Consider the following 15,151-nt stretch of genomic DNA (forward strand, 5'->3'; position numbering starts at 1 on the left):
AGGCTGAAGCAGGAGAATCACTTGAATCCAGGAGGCAGAGGTTGCAGTGAGCCGAGATCCCACCACTGCACTCCAGCCTGGGCAACAATATCAAGACTCCACCTCAAAAAAAAAAATGTTTTTCATAAAGTGTGACTTTTATCAGACCTCTGCATTCTTGAAATTAACTCTGGCTTGGCTGGGCGTGGTGGCCCACACCTGTAATCTTAACACTTTGGGAGGCTGAGGTGGGCAGATCACGAGGTCAGGAGTTCAAGACCAGCCTGACCAACATGATGAAACCCCATCTCTACTAAAAATACAAAAATTAGCCGGGCGTGGTGGCATGCACCTGTAATCCCAGCTACTCAGGAGGCTGAGGCAGGAGAATCGCTTGAACCCAGGAGGTGGAGGTTGCAGGGAGCCGAGATCGCACCACTCTATTCCAGCCTGGGCGACAGAGCAAGACTCTGTCTCAAAAAAAAAAAAGAAAGAAAGAAATTAACTCTGGCTCCTAGAAGGAGCCCTATATCTCAGCAGGACACTCAGTCATTCAACAGACATCTGTCAAGCACCTGCTGTATGCTGGAGCTGTGGGTACGTCAGCAATTAGAGGAAGAGGGCAGGGGTACAGGAGTTCCTGACCACCCCAGGCCAGCACGCTCCTATAGCAGCTGGCAAGGAGCAGATGACTCAGACTTCAGCTCAGTCCACAGGACAGCCTTTTCTGGCCACTGCTCTCAGGAGATGAGATGTGTGGCTGCAAAAGGTAAACTCCTGGCTCCTGAGCAGGCTCTGGGCAATCTGCTCAACGCTCTGTGCCTCACTTTCTCACCCAGAAAGTGTGGACAATGAGAGGACTTATCTGGCTGGGCGCGGTGGCTCACGCCTGTAATCCCAGCACTTTGGGAGGCCGAGGCGGGTGGATCACCTGAGGTCAGGAGTTCAAGACCTGCCTGGCCAACACGGTCAAACTCCATCTCTACTAAAAATATAAAAAATTAGCCGGGCTTAGTGGTGCACACCTGTAATCCCAGCTACTTGAGAGGCTGAGGCAGGAGAATCACTTGAACCCAGGAGGTGGAGGTTGCAGTGAGCCAAGATTGTGCCACTGCACTCCAGCCTGGGCAAAAAGCCAAAACTCTGTCTCAAAGAAAAAAGAATCATGGCAGAAGGTGAAGTCTATGTTAGTCCCAGTTCCCAGGTCGTACATGGCGGCAGGAGAAAGAGAGAGAGAAGGGGAAACTGCCACTTTTAAACCATCGGGTCTCCTGAGCACTCACTGTCAGAACAGCCTGGAGGAAACTGACCGCATGATCCAACCACCTCCCTCCAGGTCCCTCCCTCCACACGTGGGGATTACAATTCGAGGTGAGACTTGGGTGGAGACACAGAGCCGAACCATATCAGCATGTATGGGGGGCACTGAAACTTGTGCTTGGTGCCCATTCATTCAACGAGTGTGTGTGGCTGGTCTCCTCATCTTCAACTCCCTGCCGAGTCTCAGATAGGCAGCCTGCAGTTCCTTCACCACAACAGGCACATGGGGCTGGGTGCCAGTGAGTGCTGGGGCTTCTCCGAGCACTATCTCACACCCAGGAGCGTGGGCACGCATGGCATTCGCATGTGCCGTCAGTGGACATTAAACACAGCCATGAAGAAGCCACGAAGAAGTGCTGCCTGCCGGCCGTGCGCGGTCACGCAGCGCCAACTCCCTCCTGGGGCCTTCTGGGGCCTTCTGGGGCATGGGAGCTGGGGCCGCCTGAGACAAACATCCGTGACGCTGGGCTGACCCCACAGAACGGTGCGGGCCTCGCTCTTGGAGTCAGCCCTGCTGCCAGCCAGTGCCGGGTGCTGGGGACTCAGGGAGGCCCGCCGGGACCACTGCGGGACAGTGAGCCGAGCAGAAGCTGGAACGCAGGAGAGGAAGGAGAGGGGGCGGTCAGGGCTCTCAGGAGCCGGGTCCTGGGCAAGGCGCAGCCGTTTTCAAATTTTCAGGAAAGCGGTCGGCTCACACTCGAGCAGTAAAAAGATGCCTCTGGGGAGGAGGCCCGTGCAGCTCTCCGGGCAATGGTGGTGGCTCGGCCTAGAGAGGCGGTAGTGGAACGCAGACCCTGGTGGGGGAATGACATCAAGGGAGGAGACGGGCGGGACCCCAGATTTCTGCCTGTGGGCGATGGAAGTGAGGTTCACTGGCCAGCGGAGCCGGACACAGAACGCGCAAAACGCCGTGTAGGCCTGGAGGAGCCGAAGAGCAGGCGGACCCCCTCCGCGGGGGAACAGTTTCCGCCGGGAGCACAAAGCAACGGACCGGAAGTGGGGGGCGGAAGTGCAGTGGGCTCAGCGCCGACTGCGCGCCTCTGCCCGCGAAAACTCTGAGCTGGCTGACAGCTGGGGACGGGTGGCGGCCCTCGACTGGAGTCGGTTGAGTTCCTGAGGGACCCCGGTTCTGGAAGGTTCGCCGCGGAGACAAGTGAGCAGTGAGTCGCAGTGACCCTACAAGTGGTTCTTTTACCCGAGCGGCTCGTAGGCGCGTTGCGGTTTTTCGAAACTACAGCTCCCGGCAGGCCCCAAGCCGCCCTCGGGGCCGCGGGTCGGCGGATTGGCCGCGCTGCATTTTGGGACCTGTAGTTTCCTGCGCTCGTGGCGCTGGCGCCGCGGCGTTGGCTGAGCCCTTGACCGGGGCTGGAGGGAAGGGCCGACATTCAGTGTGTCCGCGTCTGTTCTGTTAGTCCCAGTTCCCGGGCGGGATTGAGGCTTAGAGAAGTTGAGTGATTTGCTGAGGGCTGCACGGGTTGGCATCCCGGCATGCTCTTTCGCTACTTTGGCTGCATCTGGTTGCCCACCCGGGCGGATGGGGAATGGACTCCAGCCAGCCAGGAGGGCAGAGGGCTGGAGAGGCAGGGCCGGAGGTTCAGACCCTCCGCTCTGACGTTGCGCCTGGTGAGGCCGGGAGGGGTGCCGCTTGCCTCTTCAGCCCTCACGCTCTTGTGGAAGTCGCGGAATTACTGCAGGCGGAACTTGCAGCACTGTGGGCGTCTTTTCCAGAGAAGGACGGAGTTGTGGGGCGGGAGGATAAGGCAAGGCCCAGCCACTTCGCATCTTCGCCCCGCCAGCTCCTCGAGATGGGATATACCAGGGTTGCTCTCCAACCCTCTCCGCAGGAGGGACTGATGGAAACGCCTGGGAAAGTAGCCCGGTACCCACAAAGGCTGTCTACAAACAGAGTCTTACTGTCTTTCCCAGGTCTGTGCCATAGGGATTCTCGAAGAGAACAGCGTTGTGTCCCAGTGCACATGCTCGCATCGCTTACCAGGAGTGCCCGAGACCCTAAGATGTTCGGAGTGGTTTTTTCGCACAGACCCGAATAGCCTGCCCCTCAGCCACGCTCTGTGCCCTTCTGAGAACAGGCTGATATGCCCAAGATAGTCCTGAATGGTGTGACCGTAGACTTCCCTTTCCAGCCCTACAAATGCCAACAGGAGTACATGACCAAGGTCCTGGAATGTCTGCAGCAGGTAGAGCACAGGCCCCGAGGAAAGGACTGCGGGTGGGTGGAGCTTCAGCCAGGACGGGGTGTGCTTCCCTCTCCCGGCCCATTCCAGCCAGGCCCCTCCGGGCCAGAGGCAGCGTCTGTCATAAAAAGGGCTGGTGTTCCAGGTGGGGTCAGAGAGAGGATTGACAAGTAAAAACGATCGTCCTTTGAAGGGGGCCGGCCCCTCCACACCTGTGGGTATTTCTCATCAGGCGGGACGAGAGACTGAGAAAATGAATAAGACACAGAGACAAAGTATAGAGAGAAAAGTGGGCCCAGGGGACCGGCGCTCAGCATACAGAGGACCTGCACCGGCACCAGTCTCTGAGTTTCCTCAGTATTCATTAATTACTATTTTCACTATCTCAGCAAGAGGAATGCGGCAGGACAGCAAGGTGATAGTGGGGAGAAGGTCAGCAAGAAAACGTGAGCAAAGGAATCTGGGTCACAAATAAGTTCAAGGGAAGGTACTATGCCTGGATGTGCACGTAGGCTAGTTTTATGCTTTTCTCCACCCAAACATCTCGGTGGAGTAAAGAGTAACAGAGCAGCATTGCTGCCAATATGTCTCGCCTCCTGCCACAGGGCGGCTTTTCTCCTATCTCAGAATTGAACAAATGTACAATCGGGTTTTATACCGAAACATTCAGTTCCCAGGGGCAGGCAGGAGACAGTGGCCTTCCTCTATCTCGACTGCAAGAGGCTTTCCTCTTTTACTAATCCTCAGCACAGACCCTTCACGGGTGTTGGGCTGGGGGACTGTCAGGTCTTTCCCATCCCACGAGGCCATATTTCAGACTATCACATGGAGAGAAACCTTGGGCAATACCCGGCTTTCCAGGGCAGAGGTCCCTGCGGCTTTCCGCAGTGCATCGTGCCCCTGGTTTATCGAGACTGGAGAATGGCGATGACTTTTACCAAGCATACTGCCTGTAAACATATTGTTAACAAGGCACGTTCTGCACAGCTCTAGATCCCTTAAACCTTGATTCCATACAACACATGTTTCTGTGAGCTCAAGGCTGGGGCAAAGTTACAGATTAACAGCATCTTAGGGCAAAGCAATTGTTCAGGGTACAGGTCAAAATGGAGTGTGTTATGTCTTCCCTTTCTACATAGACACAGTAACAGTCTGATCTCTCTTTTCCCTACAGTCCTTGAGGGTGACAGACTTAGGAGTGCCTTGGGGGCCTCTCTGAGGAGCAGCTGATATTCACGGGTCAGGAGGAAGCATTTCCATTAGAGGGGCAGCCGGTGGCCAGCCTCACTTGGAAGGTCTTTGAACCTCGGGGGTGCAGGGAGGTGGCAGTGGTGCAGGTTGCCTTCTCCTGGGTTCCTTGAGGTGCCCTCTTGTACCCGGCTCACACCCTTCCCCTCCCCGAGTTTCCTGCTCAGGTTCCCGTCTGAGAGCTTGTATGTAGGACGTCAGATAGGACAGCATAAATGTTTGGATCCAGAAACGCAGAACAGTTTCCTATTTTGAGACTTGACACCTAATTAGTCATCTTACTATTTAAGCTGAAAAATAGTGTCGTGTTTTGGGTAACGTTCTGCAAATCGTTTGCTAATGGCGGCTGAGTTGCTTCACGCCCTTTAGGGCAAGAGTGGGACTTGCCTGTGGACTTCTCCGCGGTCCCACAGGGCTCTCGCCACCTGGCAGTGGCCTCTGCATCTGCAAAGAGCTGCCCGCTGGCTGCCGAAGCTTGTCTCAGGGCAGCTTGTGTGGCCTCGCCTCTTCCTGGCTTCCCCGTAACCCTTGCTCCGAACTCCGTTCAGAAGGTGAATGGCATCCTGGAGAGCCCTACGGGTACAGGGAAGACGCTGTGCCTGCTGTGCACCACGCTGGCCTGGCGAGAACACCTCCGAGACGGCATCTCTGCCCGCAAGATTGCCGAGAGGGCGCAAGGAGAGCTTTTCCCGGATCGGGCCTTGTCATCCTGGGGCAACGCTGCTGCTGCTGCTGGAGACCCCATAGGTGACCCTAGTTCCCAGGCCTCTCCTGGCCTCCTGTGGGGATGGTTGGCAAGGGATGGCGCTGAGGGTGGGGTGGGCCCATGGGGACTCCTGCCGTCTCTCAAGCAGAACTCAAGGAGAATTTTTTAGCTGCTGTATAATTTCTCGCCATCGTGGGTGTAAACCTAGGGTTGGGCTTTTTTGCTGAATTAGGGCACGGCAGATGCCCACTTCACCCATTTTTGATAAACCAGTATCTGGGGTGTCAGATTCTTGGCTGTCTGCAGGGCCGAGTTAGCCGAATGCCACCTGCCTTTGATACGTGAGAACGTTGTCTGAGAACCGTGACTTCTGTGCTTGCTTGTGTCTGGTCAGCTTGCTACACGGACATCCCAAAGATTATTTACGCCTCCAGGACCCACTCGCAACTCACACAGGTCATCAACGAGCTTCGGAACACCTCCTACCGGTGGGTCAGACGAGTTTACACCTGTCTCGGGGTCCTCAAGAGAACCAGCTTGGCATGGTGCTGAGTCCACAGCCCCATGCTGTGCTGTGGTGGAGGGTGGTGGTCTTTCTAGACGCTCCCCCGAAGTGTGCAGAGCGCTGGTGCCCAGGGGTGGGGTGCGGCCTGGGCTGCCTCCAATGCCCATTACTTGTGAGGAAGCAGCTTTGCATCTGTGTGCTGACCTTGGGCGGGCGTCCTGAGCTCCTCGCAGGTGCTGTTGTAGCAGCTGTGCAGTAGGTCAGGGCTGGCCCCCAGTGCAGCTTTGCACATGAAGTAGGAGGAGGCCCTGCTGCTTGTCAGAGCCCAGCAGAGTCTTGGTGTTCTGTCGGGTTCCTGTGGCCGGACCAGTGGCAGGGTGCTGTGGAAGCTGTCGAATCTCCTCCCTCTGTCCAGTACCCCCGCTCGTCTTCTAGCTCCCTCCTACGCCCGGGCCACGTTTCAGTTATGCTCACTTCCTCTGACCGCCGAGGCTCCTGCGTGTCTCCATACAGCTCACGCTGCAGGGCCACGCTGTGGGTGTTGGAGACAGCTCCTCCTCGACCCACGGTGCTCTCTCCCACCAGGCCTAAGGTGTGTGTGCTGGGCTCCCGGGAGCAGCTGTGCATCCATCCTGAGGTGAAGAAACAAGAGAGTAACCATCTACAGGTAGGCTCCTGGGCTCCCGCTCCGGCTCAGTGTCCGACAGGCGAGTGCTGCTGGGTGTCCAGAGCCCCAGGCTGCGCTCCCGCTGGGCTAGGGTTTGAAGTTCACTGGGGGACTGCAGGGGAGGACCTGGTGGGGGTGGGGACTGGCTTCGGTCCTTTCTTGGCCGTGCTTCAGCTGCGCACTCTGCCCTTCCTCCCACAGATCCACTTGTGCCGTAAGAAGGTGGCAAGTCGCTCCTGTCATTTCTACAACAACGTAGAAGGTACAAGCAGCTGGGTGGGACCAGGGTCGGGTTGGAGTGTGTGCAGCCTCTCAGGGTGGAGCTCAGTGGTGTCACAGCCTGGTTGTGCTTGCCCGGTGGGGCGGCCAGTGCGGCCATGTACCTGGGCCCTGTCTTCTGACTCGGGGCCACCCATGTTAGACTTCTGTGTGGAAGAGCTCACACAGTGGTCTGAGACAGCCAGCCGGCAAGACTGCCTCTGGCTGGTGCCTGGGGCCTTGGATTTTGGGAAGGCTCCCTCCATTTCCTGATGAGAGGGTCTCCCTGCACCTAACCTGCTGGTGCAAACAGTAGGGGTTTTGCTGAACACCGGCTTTCTCTTCGGGGACTTTGTTGCTTGCCCAGCAGCAGGTGCTCCAGTGACCGGCCCTCATACCATCTTGGGAGGGTGTCCTGGAAGCCGTGTCTGGCCTCCCGCGACCCTGCCCCGTGTGTCTTTTTCCTGTGCTGACCTTGCTGCGGAAAATTATGGCCCTGAGTGTGACTCCAGGCTGAGTCCTGTGGGTCCAACACGGGATGCCTTGGGGCCTCTTCTGGAGACGGGATGTGAGTGACAGGAGCCGGCCGGGGCAGCTTGCCCTGTGACTGCACGTGGCCACAGCCTGTGAGGGCCGGGGGTGCTTCTCCACCCACGTGGCTGCCCCTCGGGTATGTCAAGGGCTTCTGGGGCTCATCACGGGGTCCTAGAGACAGTGGCAGGGTGCACCCCCGTTGGCTGCCCTTACAGTTTCTGTGACCTGAGGGTGGCATCTGTGCAGTCGGCGCGGTCTGTGCTTCTGTGGGATCAGGGTTCCCTCTGTTTCCTGCCTCAGTTGGGGCTCAAGCCTCAGGTGAGGTGGCCCCGGAGCACTCAGAAGGCATCGGCGGTCCTGTGGGCTGCTTTCTGCACTCACGTTTGCTGAGTGCTCAGTGTGCCAGGACTGAGGACCCTGAAGCTGCTCTTGTATTTAGGGCGGCGCTCCCCTGGCAGAGACTGAGCCAGGTGGTCCCGCATGACCCACTACCAGGCGTTTCTGGGCCCTGGCCCTTGGAGGGACAGGGTGGGCGGAACATGGGCCTGCAGGGAGGCTCCCGCTTACTGGAGGCATGTGCTGTGTTGCTGGAGACATCCTCTGTGTTGCTTCTTGTTCGCTGTGGTTTTTGGTCTGGTGGCACCAAGGACCCTCAGTCATCTTGATGTGTGGTTGTCCAGGCCTTTTTGTTGGTCCTAAGAAGGGGCTCTGCCTTTGTGCCCCCAGGTTCCCTGACAGGAGCTGCCGGCTCGTCCCGGTGATGCCTGCAGGACGTGACTCTGGGACGGGGGGTTGGGCAGATGTGCTGATGGAAATTCTCAAGCAGGCGTCATTTCCGAGGTCCTCACCTGGATTTCCAGGACAGGAGTGCCTGCTGGGTGTCCCCAGTCCCATGCAGCGGGGGTCCTTGGGATAGCATGGAACGCTGAGCATGGGCCTGGCCGGCCGTGGTCCTGGACAAGGGCAGTGCCCCGGTGGCTGCTGGGCCTGGGACCTGGTGGGGACGCTGGGCCTGGTACCTGGTGGGGATGCTGGGCCTGGGACCTGGTGGGGAGGCCTCTGACTGCCTCCTGGTGCTGCTTCCGTCTGTGTTAGGCCTCTGGGTATTGGGGCCCCCATCTGTCTCCTCCTCCAGGCCTGTGGACTCAGACCAGGAAGACACAGGCCAGCCCCTGCCTGTCCCCCTTGGCTTGGGCTCTCACTGCCCGACCTGGCGGGAGGTTGCCTAGCCGTGAACCTTCGCACCCTGTCTGCCACCGGACAGGCTGTGAGGGGGTGTCTGCAGCACCTGCACCGGCCTGAGCATCTTCAGAGTGGGCTGCAGCTCCTGGAGGGGTCTGAGAGGAAGGGAGGCAGGTATTTTGGGCGAATGAGGAGACAGCTGGAGAGCTGGCACCCTTCCTGGCCTGCGTCCTGTGAGGACTCTGGTTGGGGACAGCAAGCTTGGGGTCAGCCTGGGGCAGAGCCTCTGGGACGGCCCCGCCCCTCGTGCCCCTTCCCCTCGCAGCTCCTGTCCTCGCCCCGCCCTCAGCTCTCCGCCAGGCAAGGTTTGGCAAGTGCCGCTGTGCGGCAGTGCCTGCTGATTGGCTGGTCTGTTGCTATGGTGCTGCCCAGGGGTGTGCTTTTCCTCCCCTGCCTTCCCTGCTATCCCTGGGAGTATCTGGGGTTGGGTCATCGCTGGTGTGTGTGAGTGTGTGTGTGTGTGTATGTGCACGTGTGCATATGTGTGCGCTTCTGGCCTCTGCAGCTGAGTCCTGGCCCTCGGGGGGCCTGGCACCTCCTGGGGACAGGCACAAAGCAGCCATGATGGAGTCGGGAGCTGGGGGAGGCCCCATTGCCCCACGTGGCTGCCCTGTGACTCTGGGGTGCTTGTTAGAAGAGGTATCTGGTTCTGTCTGTGTTTAAGCAACTCCCTAAGGAATTCTTGTGGTTCCAGTTTGGGGGGCCTGTACTGTAGAGGCAAGGGAGGGGCAGGACATCCCCCAGACTCTGACTTCTGAAGCCTTTTCTGCCCGGGGCCTCTCCGCCAGTACAGGCAGTGTCCTTTGCCAGGGCTGCCATGCTGCAGAGGGGAGTGGGCCACTGTTTAGCCCAGGAAAACCTGGCTCTCCCTTAGCTGGAAGTTCTGGGCCTGTTGTGGTTGGCAGGGAAGCTGAGTGACGGTGCTAATCACAGGGGCACCTGCAGGGGTTTGTGGGAGATGCCTCTGTGGGTTGGGGCGATAGGCTGAGGGGCTGTTCTTCCCTGCCCTGAGGAGGGCTGAGTGTAGCCGCCACTCCTGTCCTGTCTTGGGCTGTCTCGGAGAGGATGCGTAGAACCCTCGGGATCCTGCTGGCCTCCGTCTGGTCCACCCTGAACCTCAGGCCTTCTGGGGGCAGAGGAGGATTCCCTCAGGATCACTCGGGTGGGGGCCTCTCTTGGGCACCTGAGACCCTCAGTGGGTGCTTTGTGGCGCGTTCACGGTTGGTGGGGGACGCCCAGCCCTGCCCGCCGTGTAGGAGCCGTTCTGTCCTGGGCATCCCCCTGTGGTCTGGGACTTAGTGGACCCTGAGGGTGTGTGTTTACCCCTGCCTCACACCTGCAGAAAAAAGCCTGGAGCAGGAGCTGGCCAGCCCCATCCTGGACATTGAGGACTTGGTCAAGAGCGGAAGCAAGCACAGGTGAGACCCCTCAGTGAGGCCACGACCACTGTCCTTCCATGGCCCAGCTCTCCTGTGACCTGTGGAGGCCCGGATATATTTCTTCACTTTTCTTTGTTCCTTTTTAAATTATGAAACTAACCACCATTCAGTACGAAAAAGTTTAAGCAGCTCTGAGGAAGATAGAGTAAAAAATTGTCTCCCTCTTCCCTGGCCCTCAGCCATCCCCGGTGGCCACCGTGGAGTGTGGACGGAGCCCTGCAGGCCTGTGTCTGTGCGGAAGCACGCGCAGTTTTGTCTGCACAGACTGTCCTGCAGTTGGCTGTTTTCACTCAGCGTTGTGGGTATAGCTTCCCATGCTGGTGCTGGCAGCTCGGCCTTGTTCTTTTGAGGACAGCAGATGTCTCCTATGTCTACCTCTTACAGCTTCAGAGATTCAAGTTATAATAAAGCTCTTCTTATATTGAGGGGGAAACCTCCCTCCCCCTTTTTTTTGAAACAGGGTCTCGCTCTGCTACCCAGGCTGCAGTGCAGTGTCACAGTCTTGGCTCACTGCAGCCTCAGCCTCCCAGGCTCAAGCGATTTTCCCACCTCAGCCTCCCAAGTAGCCGGGACTGCAGGCACACACCACCATGCCTGGTTAATTTTTGTATTTTTTGTACAGACAGGGTCTCACTCTGTTGCTCAGGCCAGTCTCCTGAGCTCGAGAGTTCCACCTGCCTTGGCCTCCCAAAGTGCTGGGATTACAGGCGTGAGACCCCATGCCTGGCCAGCTCTTTTTTTTTTTTTTTTTTTTTTTGAGACGGAGTCTCGCTCTGTCGCCCAGGCTGGAGTGCAGTGGTGCGATCTCGGCTCACTGCAAGCTCCGCCTCCCGAGTTCACGCCATTCTCCTGCCTCAGCCTCCCGAGTAGCTGGGACTACAGGTGCCCGCCACCACGTCTGGCTAATTTTCTGTATTTTTAGTAGAGACGGGGTTTCACCGTGTTAGCCAGGATGGTCTCGATCTTCTGACCTTGTGATCCGCCCACCTCGGCCTCCCAAAGTGCTGGGATTACAGGAGTGAGCCACCGCGCCCGGCCCAGCTCTGCTTTTTCTTAGTGGTTCTGCGTTGTGTTTGTTTCTATCCAGGAATAGGGTTGGTTTTACTTTTCCATCGAGTTTTTAAAGAGACGACGATTTACATGGTCGGAAACTCACGAGGACTCCCCATCCCTTGGTCGGAAACTCACATGGACTCCCCATCCCTTGGTCAGAAACTCACGTGGACTCCCATCCATCCCAGGCAGCAGCTTCCCACCTGGGCCCTACGTGCAGGATGAGGGCTCCTTCCGGGTCAGAAGACATGGCGGCCTCGGGGCACCGTCCCCTGCATGGGGTGCTCACAGGATCTTCTCCTCTCTCCTTCCCAGGGTGTGCCCTTACTACCTGTCCCGGAACCTGAAGCAGCAAGCCGACATCATATTCATGCCGTACAATTACTTGTTGGATGCCAAGGTGGGGGCTCAGTCCTGTAGCTGACGACTCCTGATGTCCAGGGGTGTCCCTGGGCTTGGGAACAGCTGTCCGAGCCTTTGCTGCTTCAGGGCCTTAGATCAGCAGGCCTGGGTGGGAGGACTCACCTCTGTCACTGGGCAGGGGCTCAACCTGGCCAGACACACTTGTGAGCAGCCCCAGGCCACAGGTCAGTTTTCTGAGCAGTCTGGGAGCGGGCAGGCTGGTGGGAGTGAGGAGAGACCTCCAGGCTGTGGTCCATAGGCCAGTGCCCGCTCTTGATCCTGACAGCTCAGGTTCTCTCCTTCACGTCAGGCCATGGGAGGCACCGAGAACACAGGAAGCCCACTGACTCCCCTCTTCCCAGCGCGTGCCCGGCCCCACACTCACTCCCCCTCCCAGCATGTGCCCGGCTTCACACTCACTCCCCTCTTCCCAGTGCATGCCCGGCCCCACACTCACTCCCCCCACAGCATGTGCCCGGCCTGACACTCACTCCCCTCCTCCCAGTGTGTGCCCAGCCCCACTCCCTTCCGCCCCGTGTGCCCAGCCCCACGCTCACTCCCCCCGCCAGCATGTGCCCGGCCCCACACTCAACTCCCCTCCTCCCAGTGTGTGCCCGGCCCTGCTGCCCTCCTCCCCATGTGCCCTGCTTTTGTGCCCCACACTTTTTACTTAGTGCAGGTGGGATCACACGCCACGGGTCAATGGTTTGTGTGTTCACGTGACGATGGCGTGGTGACGTTTCCAGATCCCGTCGTTGGTTCGCTCATTCTCGGGGTGTATATTTATTGAGAGCTCATCATGCTGGGTGCTATTCCAGGCATAGCAAGACTGGCTTCACTCACATGGAGCTTTGATTCTAGTGGTGGGGACAGGTGGACAGCAAAAGAGTAAGCACGTGAGCTGATGATACTGAAGGGAAATAGAGCAGAGGGAGGAGGCGGAGACCGAGCCAAGCGGGCCCAAGTGCGATGTCGGCGGGAGGTGGGGAATGCTGGTGGGTCTGAGGGGAGCCTCAGCAGGTGCAGCAGAGCAAGGGAAGAGGTGAGTGGGGGCGGCTGGGGGGCCGACTCCTGGGAAGCTGTAGCAGAACCCCACAGAGAGCTGGTGAGGTTTGCCGTGGTTGTGGGTGACTCGGTGCTTTGAGCCCTGGCTGCCCCTGGGAACCATCTGGAGAGCTTCTAACCCAACCAGGCCCCTCCCTGGGACAGTTATATCACAGCTGGTAAGCCGAGTCTAACACTTTCACGGAAACGCAGAAGATCTAAAACAGCAAGATGACCGTGAAGAAGAACAGAGCTGGAGGACTCACCTCGCTGGTTTCAAGACTCCTCTAAAGCTGCAGGAGTGGAGGTGGAGATGGCCCAGCTCAGGCACAGGCCTGCAGGCCATGGAGAAGGCAGCAAGCTCAAGCTGACCCACACGCATGTGGTCATTGTTTTTTTTTTCAGTTGGAATCTCACTCTGTCACCCAGGTTGGAGTGCAGTGGCACCATCTCGGCTCACTGCAGCCCCCGCCCCTAGGTTCTAGCGATTCTCCCACATCAGCCTCCCGAGTAGCTGGGATTACAGGCGTGCGCCACCATGCCTGGCCCTTGGTGATTGTTTTTTGACAAACATGCCAATTTAATTGAGAGAGGAAATGAAGGTTGATTTCTGGTTTTCTGAAAAAATGGTGCTAAGAACAGCTGGATATCTGTTCGGAAAACAGTGAATCTTAACTCTTGTTTTACCCTGTATAAACCTAAATGTAAAAGCTAAACTAAAAGTTATAGAAAGGAACATGGGGGAGGTCTTTGCAACTTTGGGGTAGGCAGAGATTTCTTAGTATGGATACACAAGGCACTAGCCATGAAGAAAAACATTAAAATTTAGACTTCACCAAAATTTAAAGCTTCAACTCTGTGGAAGAGTTGAGAAAATGAAAAAGCAGTTAAAGAAAGGGAGAAAATACTTCTTTCAAAGGACTTAAAAAATTTTTTCAGCCCTCCTCTGATTTGAAAGGACCTTTGACCAGAGTATGTAAAATTCTCCCATAACTAAGCAAACAACCCACTTAACCACTGGGAAGGGATCTGGACAGACGTTTCACCAAGATGGGTGGAATGGCCAGTTAACCACTGGGAGAGCATCCGGACAGACGTTTCGCCAAGATGGGTGGAATGGCCAGTTAACCACTGGGAGAGCATCCGGACAGACGTTTCGCCAAGATGGGTGGAATGGCCAGTTAACCACTGGGAGAGCATCCGGACAGACGTTTCGCCAAGATGGGTGGAATGGCCAGTTAACCACTGGGAGAGCATCCGGACAGACGTTTCGCCAAGATGGGTGGAATGGCCAGTTAACCACTGGGAGAGCATCCGGACAGACGTTTCGCCAAGATGGGTGGAATGGCCAGTTAACCACTGGGAGAGCATCCGGACAGACGTTTCGCCAAGATGGGTGGAATGGCCAGTTAACCACTGGGAGAGCATCCGGACAGACGTTTCGCCAAGATGGGTGGAATGGCCAGTTAACCACTGGGAGAGCATCCGGACAGACGTTTCGCCAAGATGGGTGGAATGGCCAGTTAACCACTGGGAGAGCATCCGGACAGACGTTTCGCCAAGATGGGTGGAATGGCCAGTTAACCACTGGGAGAGCATCCGGACAGACGTTTCGCCAAGATGGGTGGAATGGCCAGTTAACCACTGGGAGAGCATCCGGACAGACGTTTCGCCAAGATGGGTGGAATGGCCAGTTAACCACTGGGAGAGCATCCGGACAGACGTTTCGCCAAGATGGGTGGAATGGCCAGTTAACCACTGGGAGAGCATCCGGACAGACGTTTCGCCAAGATGGGTGGAATGGCCAGTTAACCACTGGGAGAGCATCCGGACAGACGTTTCACCAAGGTGGATGGAATGACCAGTTGAGCACATGGAAAGTCGCCCAGCATCTCCAGTCATAGGAGAAGGCAGATTAAAGCCACGGGGAGCCGACACTGTGGTCCCACTGGCATGGCTGAAATTCAGAAGCCCTGAGTGTGGCATGAGGATGTGGAACAGCTGGATCTCATCCATCGCTGTGAAGTTGTGTAGCCACTCCACAAACGTGTGGCAAACAGCCGAGCCGGGAGAAGGGAAGACGTGTTCAAAGATTCATATGTGGCCAGGCTCAGTGGCTCACGCCTGTAATCCCAGAACTTTAGGGGCCAAGGCTGGGGGATCGCTTAAGCCCAGGAGTTTGAGACCAGCCTAGGCAACATAGGGAGACCCCATCTCAAAAAAAAAAAAAAAGAAAAAAGAAAAGACTTCAGTGTGCAGGTTTACCAGAGTTTTGTTTGCAGTTGCCAAAACTGGGAAGCAGCCCGCGTGAGCCCATCCACAGGTGAATGGACAGACCGTGGTACCCGAACACTAACAGCAGCCACGGGCGTGGACTGTGGTCACACAGCAGCAGGGAGCCGATGAGTCTCGGACATGCTAACCCAGAGAGGCCCATTGAGGAGGACCTACTGTTTTTTGTGTTTTTGTTTTTTGTTTTGAAATGGAGTCTCGCTCTGTGGTGCAGGCTGGAGTGCAGTGGTGTGGTCTTGGCTCACTGCAGCTTCCGCCTCTTGGGTT

At 57.2% G+C, this 15,151-nt stretch overlaps 1 protein-coding gene and 1 long non-coding RNA gene across 5 annotated transcripts in view, besides 5 other annotated features; both read left to right on the plus strand.

The window, feature by feature from the left end:
* Positions 1,803-15,151, plus strand: part of RTEL1-TNFRSF6B (RTEL1-TNFRSF6B readthrough (NMD candidate)) — a 40,889-nt gene continuing 27,540 nt past the window's right edge. The window contains exons 1-8 of the long non-coding RNA NR_037882.1: positions 1,803-2,459; positions 3,226-3,497; positions 5,291-5,489; positions 5,843-5,936; positions 6,539-6,620; positions 6,822-6,882; positions 9,997-10,072; positions 11,462-11,546. This is a non-coding gene — a long non-coding RNA (RTEL1-TNFRSF6B readthrough (NMD candidate)). The remainder of the gene's footprint in view (positions 2,460-3,225; positions 3,498-5,290; positions 5,490-5,842; positions 5,937-6,538; positions 6,621-6,821; positions 6,883-9,996; positions 10,073-11,461; positions 11,547-15,151) is intronic.
* The window catches only part of RTEL1 (regulator of telomere elongation helicase 1), a 38,444-nt gene continuing 25,095 nt past the window's right edge, over positions 1,803-15,151 (plus strand). For 2 of the 4 annotated variants that reach the window (NM_001283009.2, NM_016434.4), the window contains exons 1-8: positions 2,305-2,459; positions 3,226-3,497; positions 5,291-5,489; positions 5,843-5,936; positions 6,539-6,620; positions 6,822-6,882; positions 9,997-10,072; positions 11,462-11,546. In NM_001283009.2, the coding sequence (NP_001269938.1) occupies positions 3,396-3,497; positions 5,291-5,489; positions 5,843-5,936; positions 6,539-6,620; positions 6,822-6,882; positions 9,997-10,072; positions 11,462-11,546 (699 nt within the window). In that variant the 5' untranslated portion in view covers positions 2,305-2,459; positions 3,226-3,395. Of the gene's footprint in view, positions 2,460-3,225; positions 3,498-5,290; positions 5,490-5,842; positions 5,937-6,466; positions 6,621-6,821; positions 6,883-9,996; positions 10,073-11,461; positions 11,547-15,151 lie in introns of all 4 variants that reach the window. The other 2 variants (NM_032957.5, NM_001283010.1) reach the window with 2 other exon arrangements.
* Positions 2,000-2,239: an enhancer, noted in NCBI's record as "active region_18237". NCBI's record gives its function as "activates an Ori minimal core promoter by ATAC-STARR-seq in GM12878 lymphoblastoid cells {active_cell/tissue: GM12878}" and the evidence as "EXISTENCE:reporter gene assay evidence [ECO:0000049][PMID:35858748]".
* Positions 2,270-2,359: an enhancer, noted in NCBI's record as "active region_18238". NCBI's record gives its function as "activates an Ori minimal core promoter by ATAC-STARR-seq in GM12878 lymphoblastoid cells {active_cell/tissue: GM12878}" and the evidence as "EXISTENCE:reporter gene assay evidence [ECO:0000049][PMID:35858748]".
* Positions 2,380-2,539: an enhancer, noted in NCBI's record as "active region_18239". NCBI's record gives its function as "activates an Ori minimal core promoter by ATAC-STARR-seq in GM12878 lymphoblastoid cells {active_cell/tissue: GM12878}" and the evidence as "EXISTENCE:reporter gene assay evidence [ECO:0000049][PMID:35858748]".
* Positions 2,660-2,729: an enhancer, noted in NCBI's record as "active region_18240". NCBI's record gives its function as "activates an Ori minimal core promoter by ATAC-STARR-seq in GM12878 lymphoblastoid cells {active_cell/tissue: GM12878}" and the evidence as "EXISTENCE:reporter gene assay evidence [ECO:0000049][PMID:35858748]".
* Positions 2,880-2,929: an enhancer, noted in NCBI's record as "active region_18241". NCBI's record gives its function as "activates an Ori minimal core promoter by ATAC-STARR-seq in GM12878 lymphoblastoid cells {active_cell/tissue: GM12878}" and the evidence as "EXISTENCE:reporter gene assay evidence [ECO:0000049][PMID:35858748]".

This window comes from Homo sapiens, chromosome 20 (assembly GCF_000001405.40).
Source record: "Homo sapiens chromosome 20, GRCh38.p14 Primary Assembly".
Classification (NCBI taxonomy): Eukaryota; Metazoa; Chordata; class Mammalia; order Primates; family Hominidae; genus Homo; species Homo sapiens.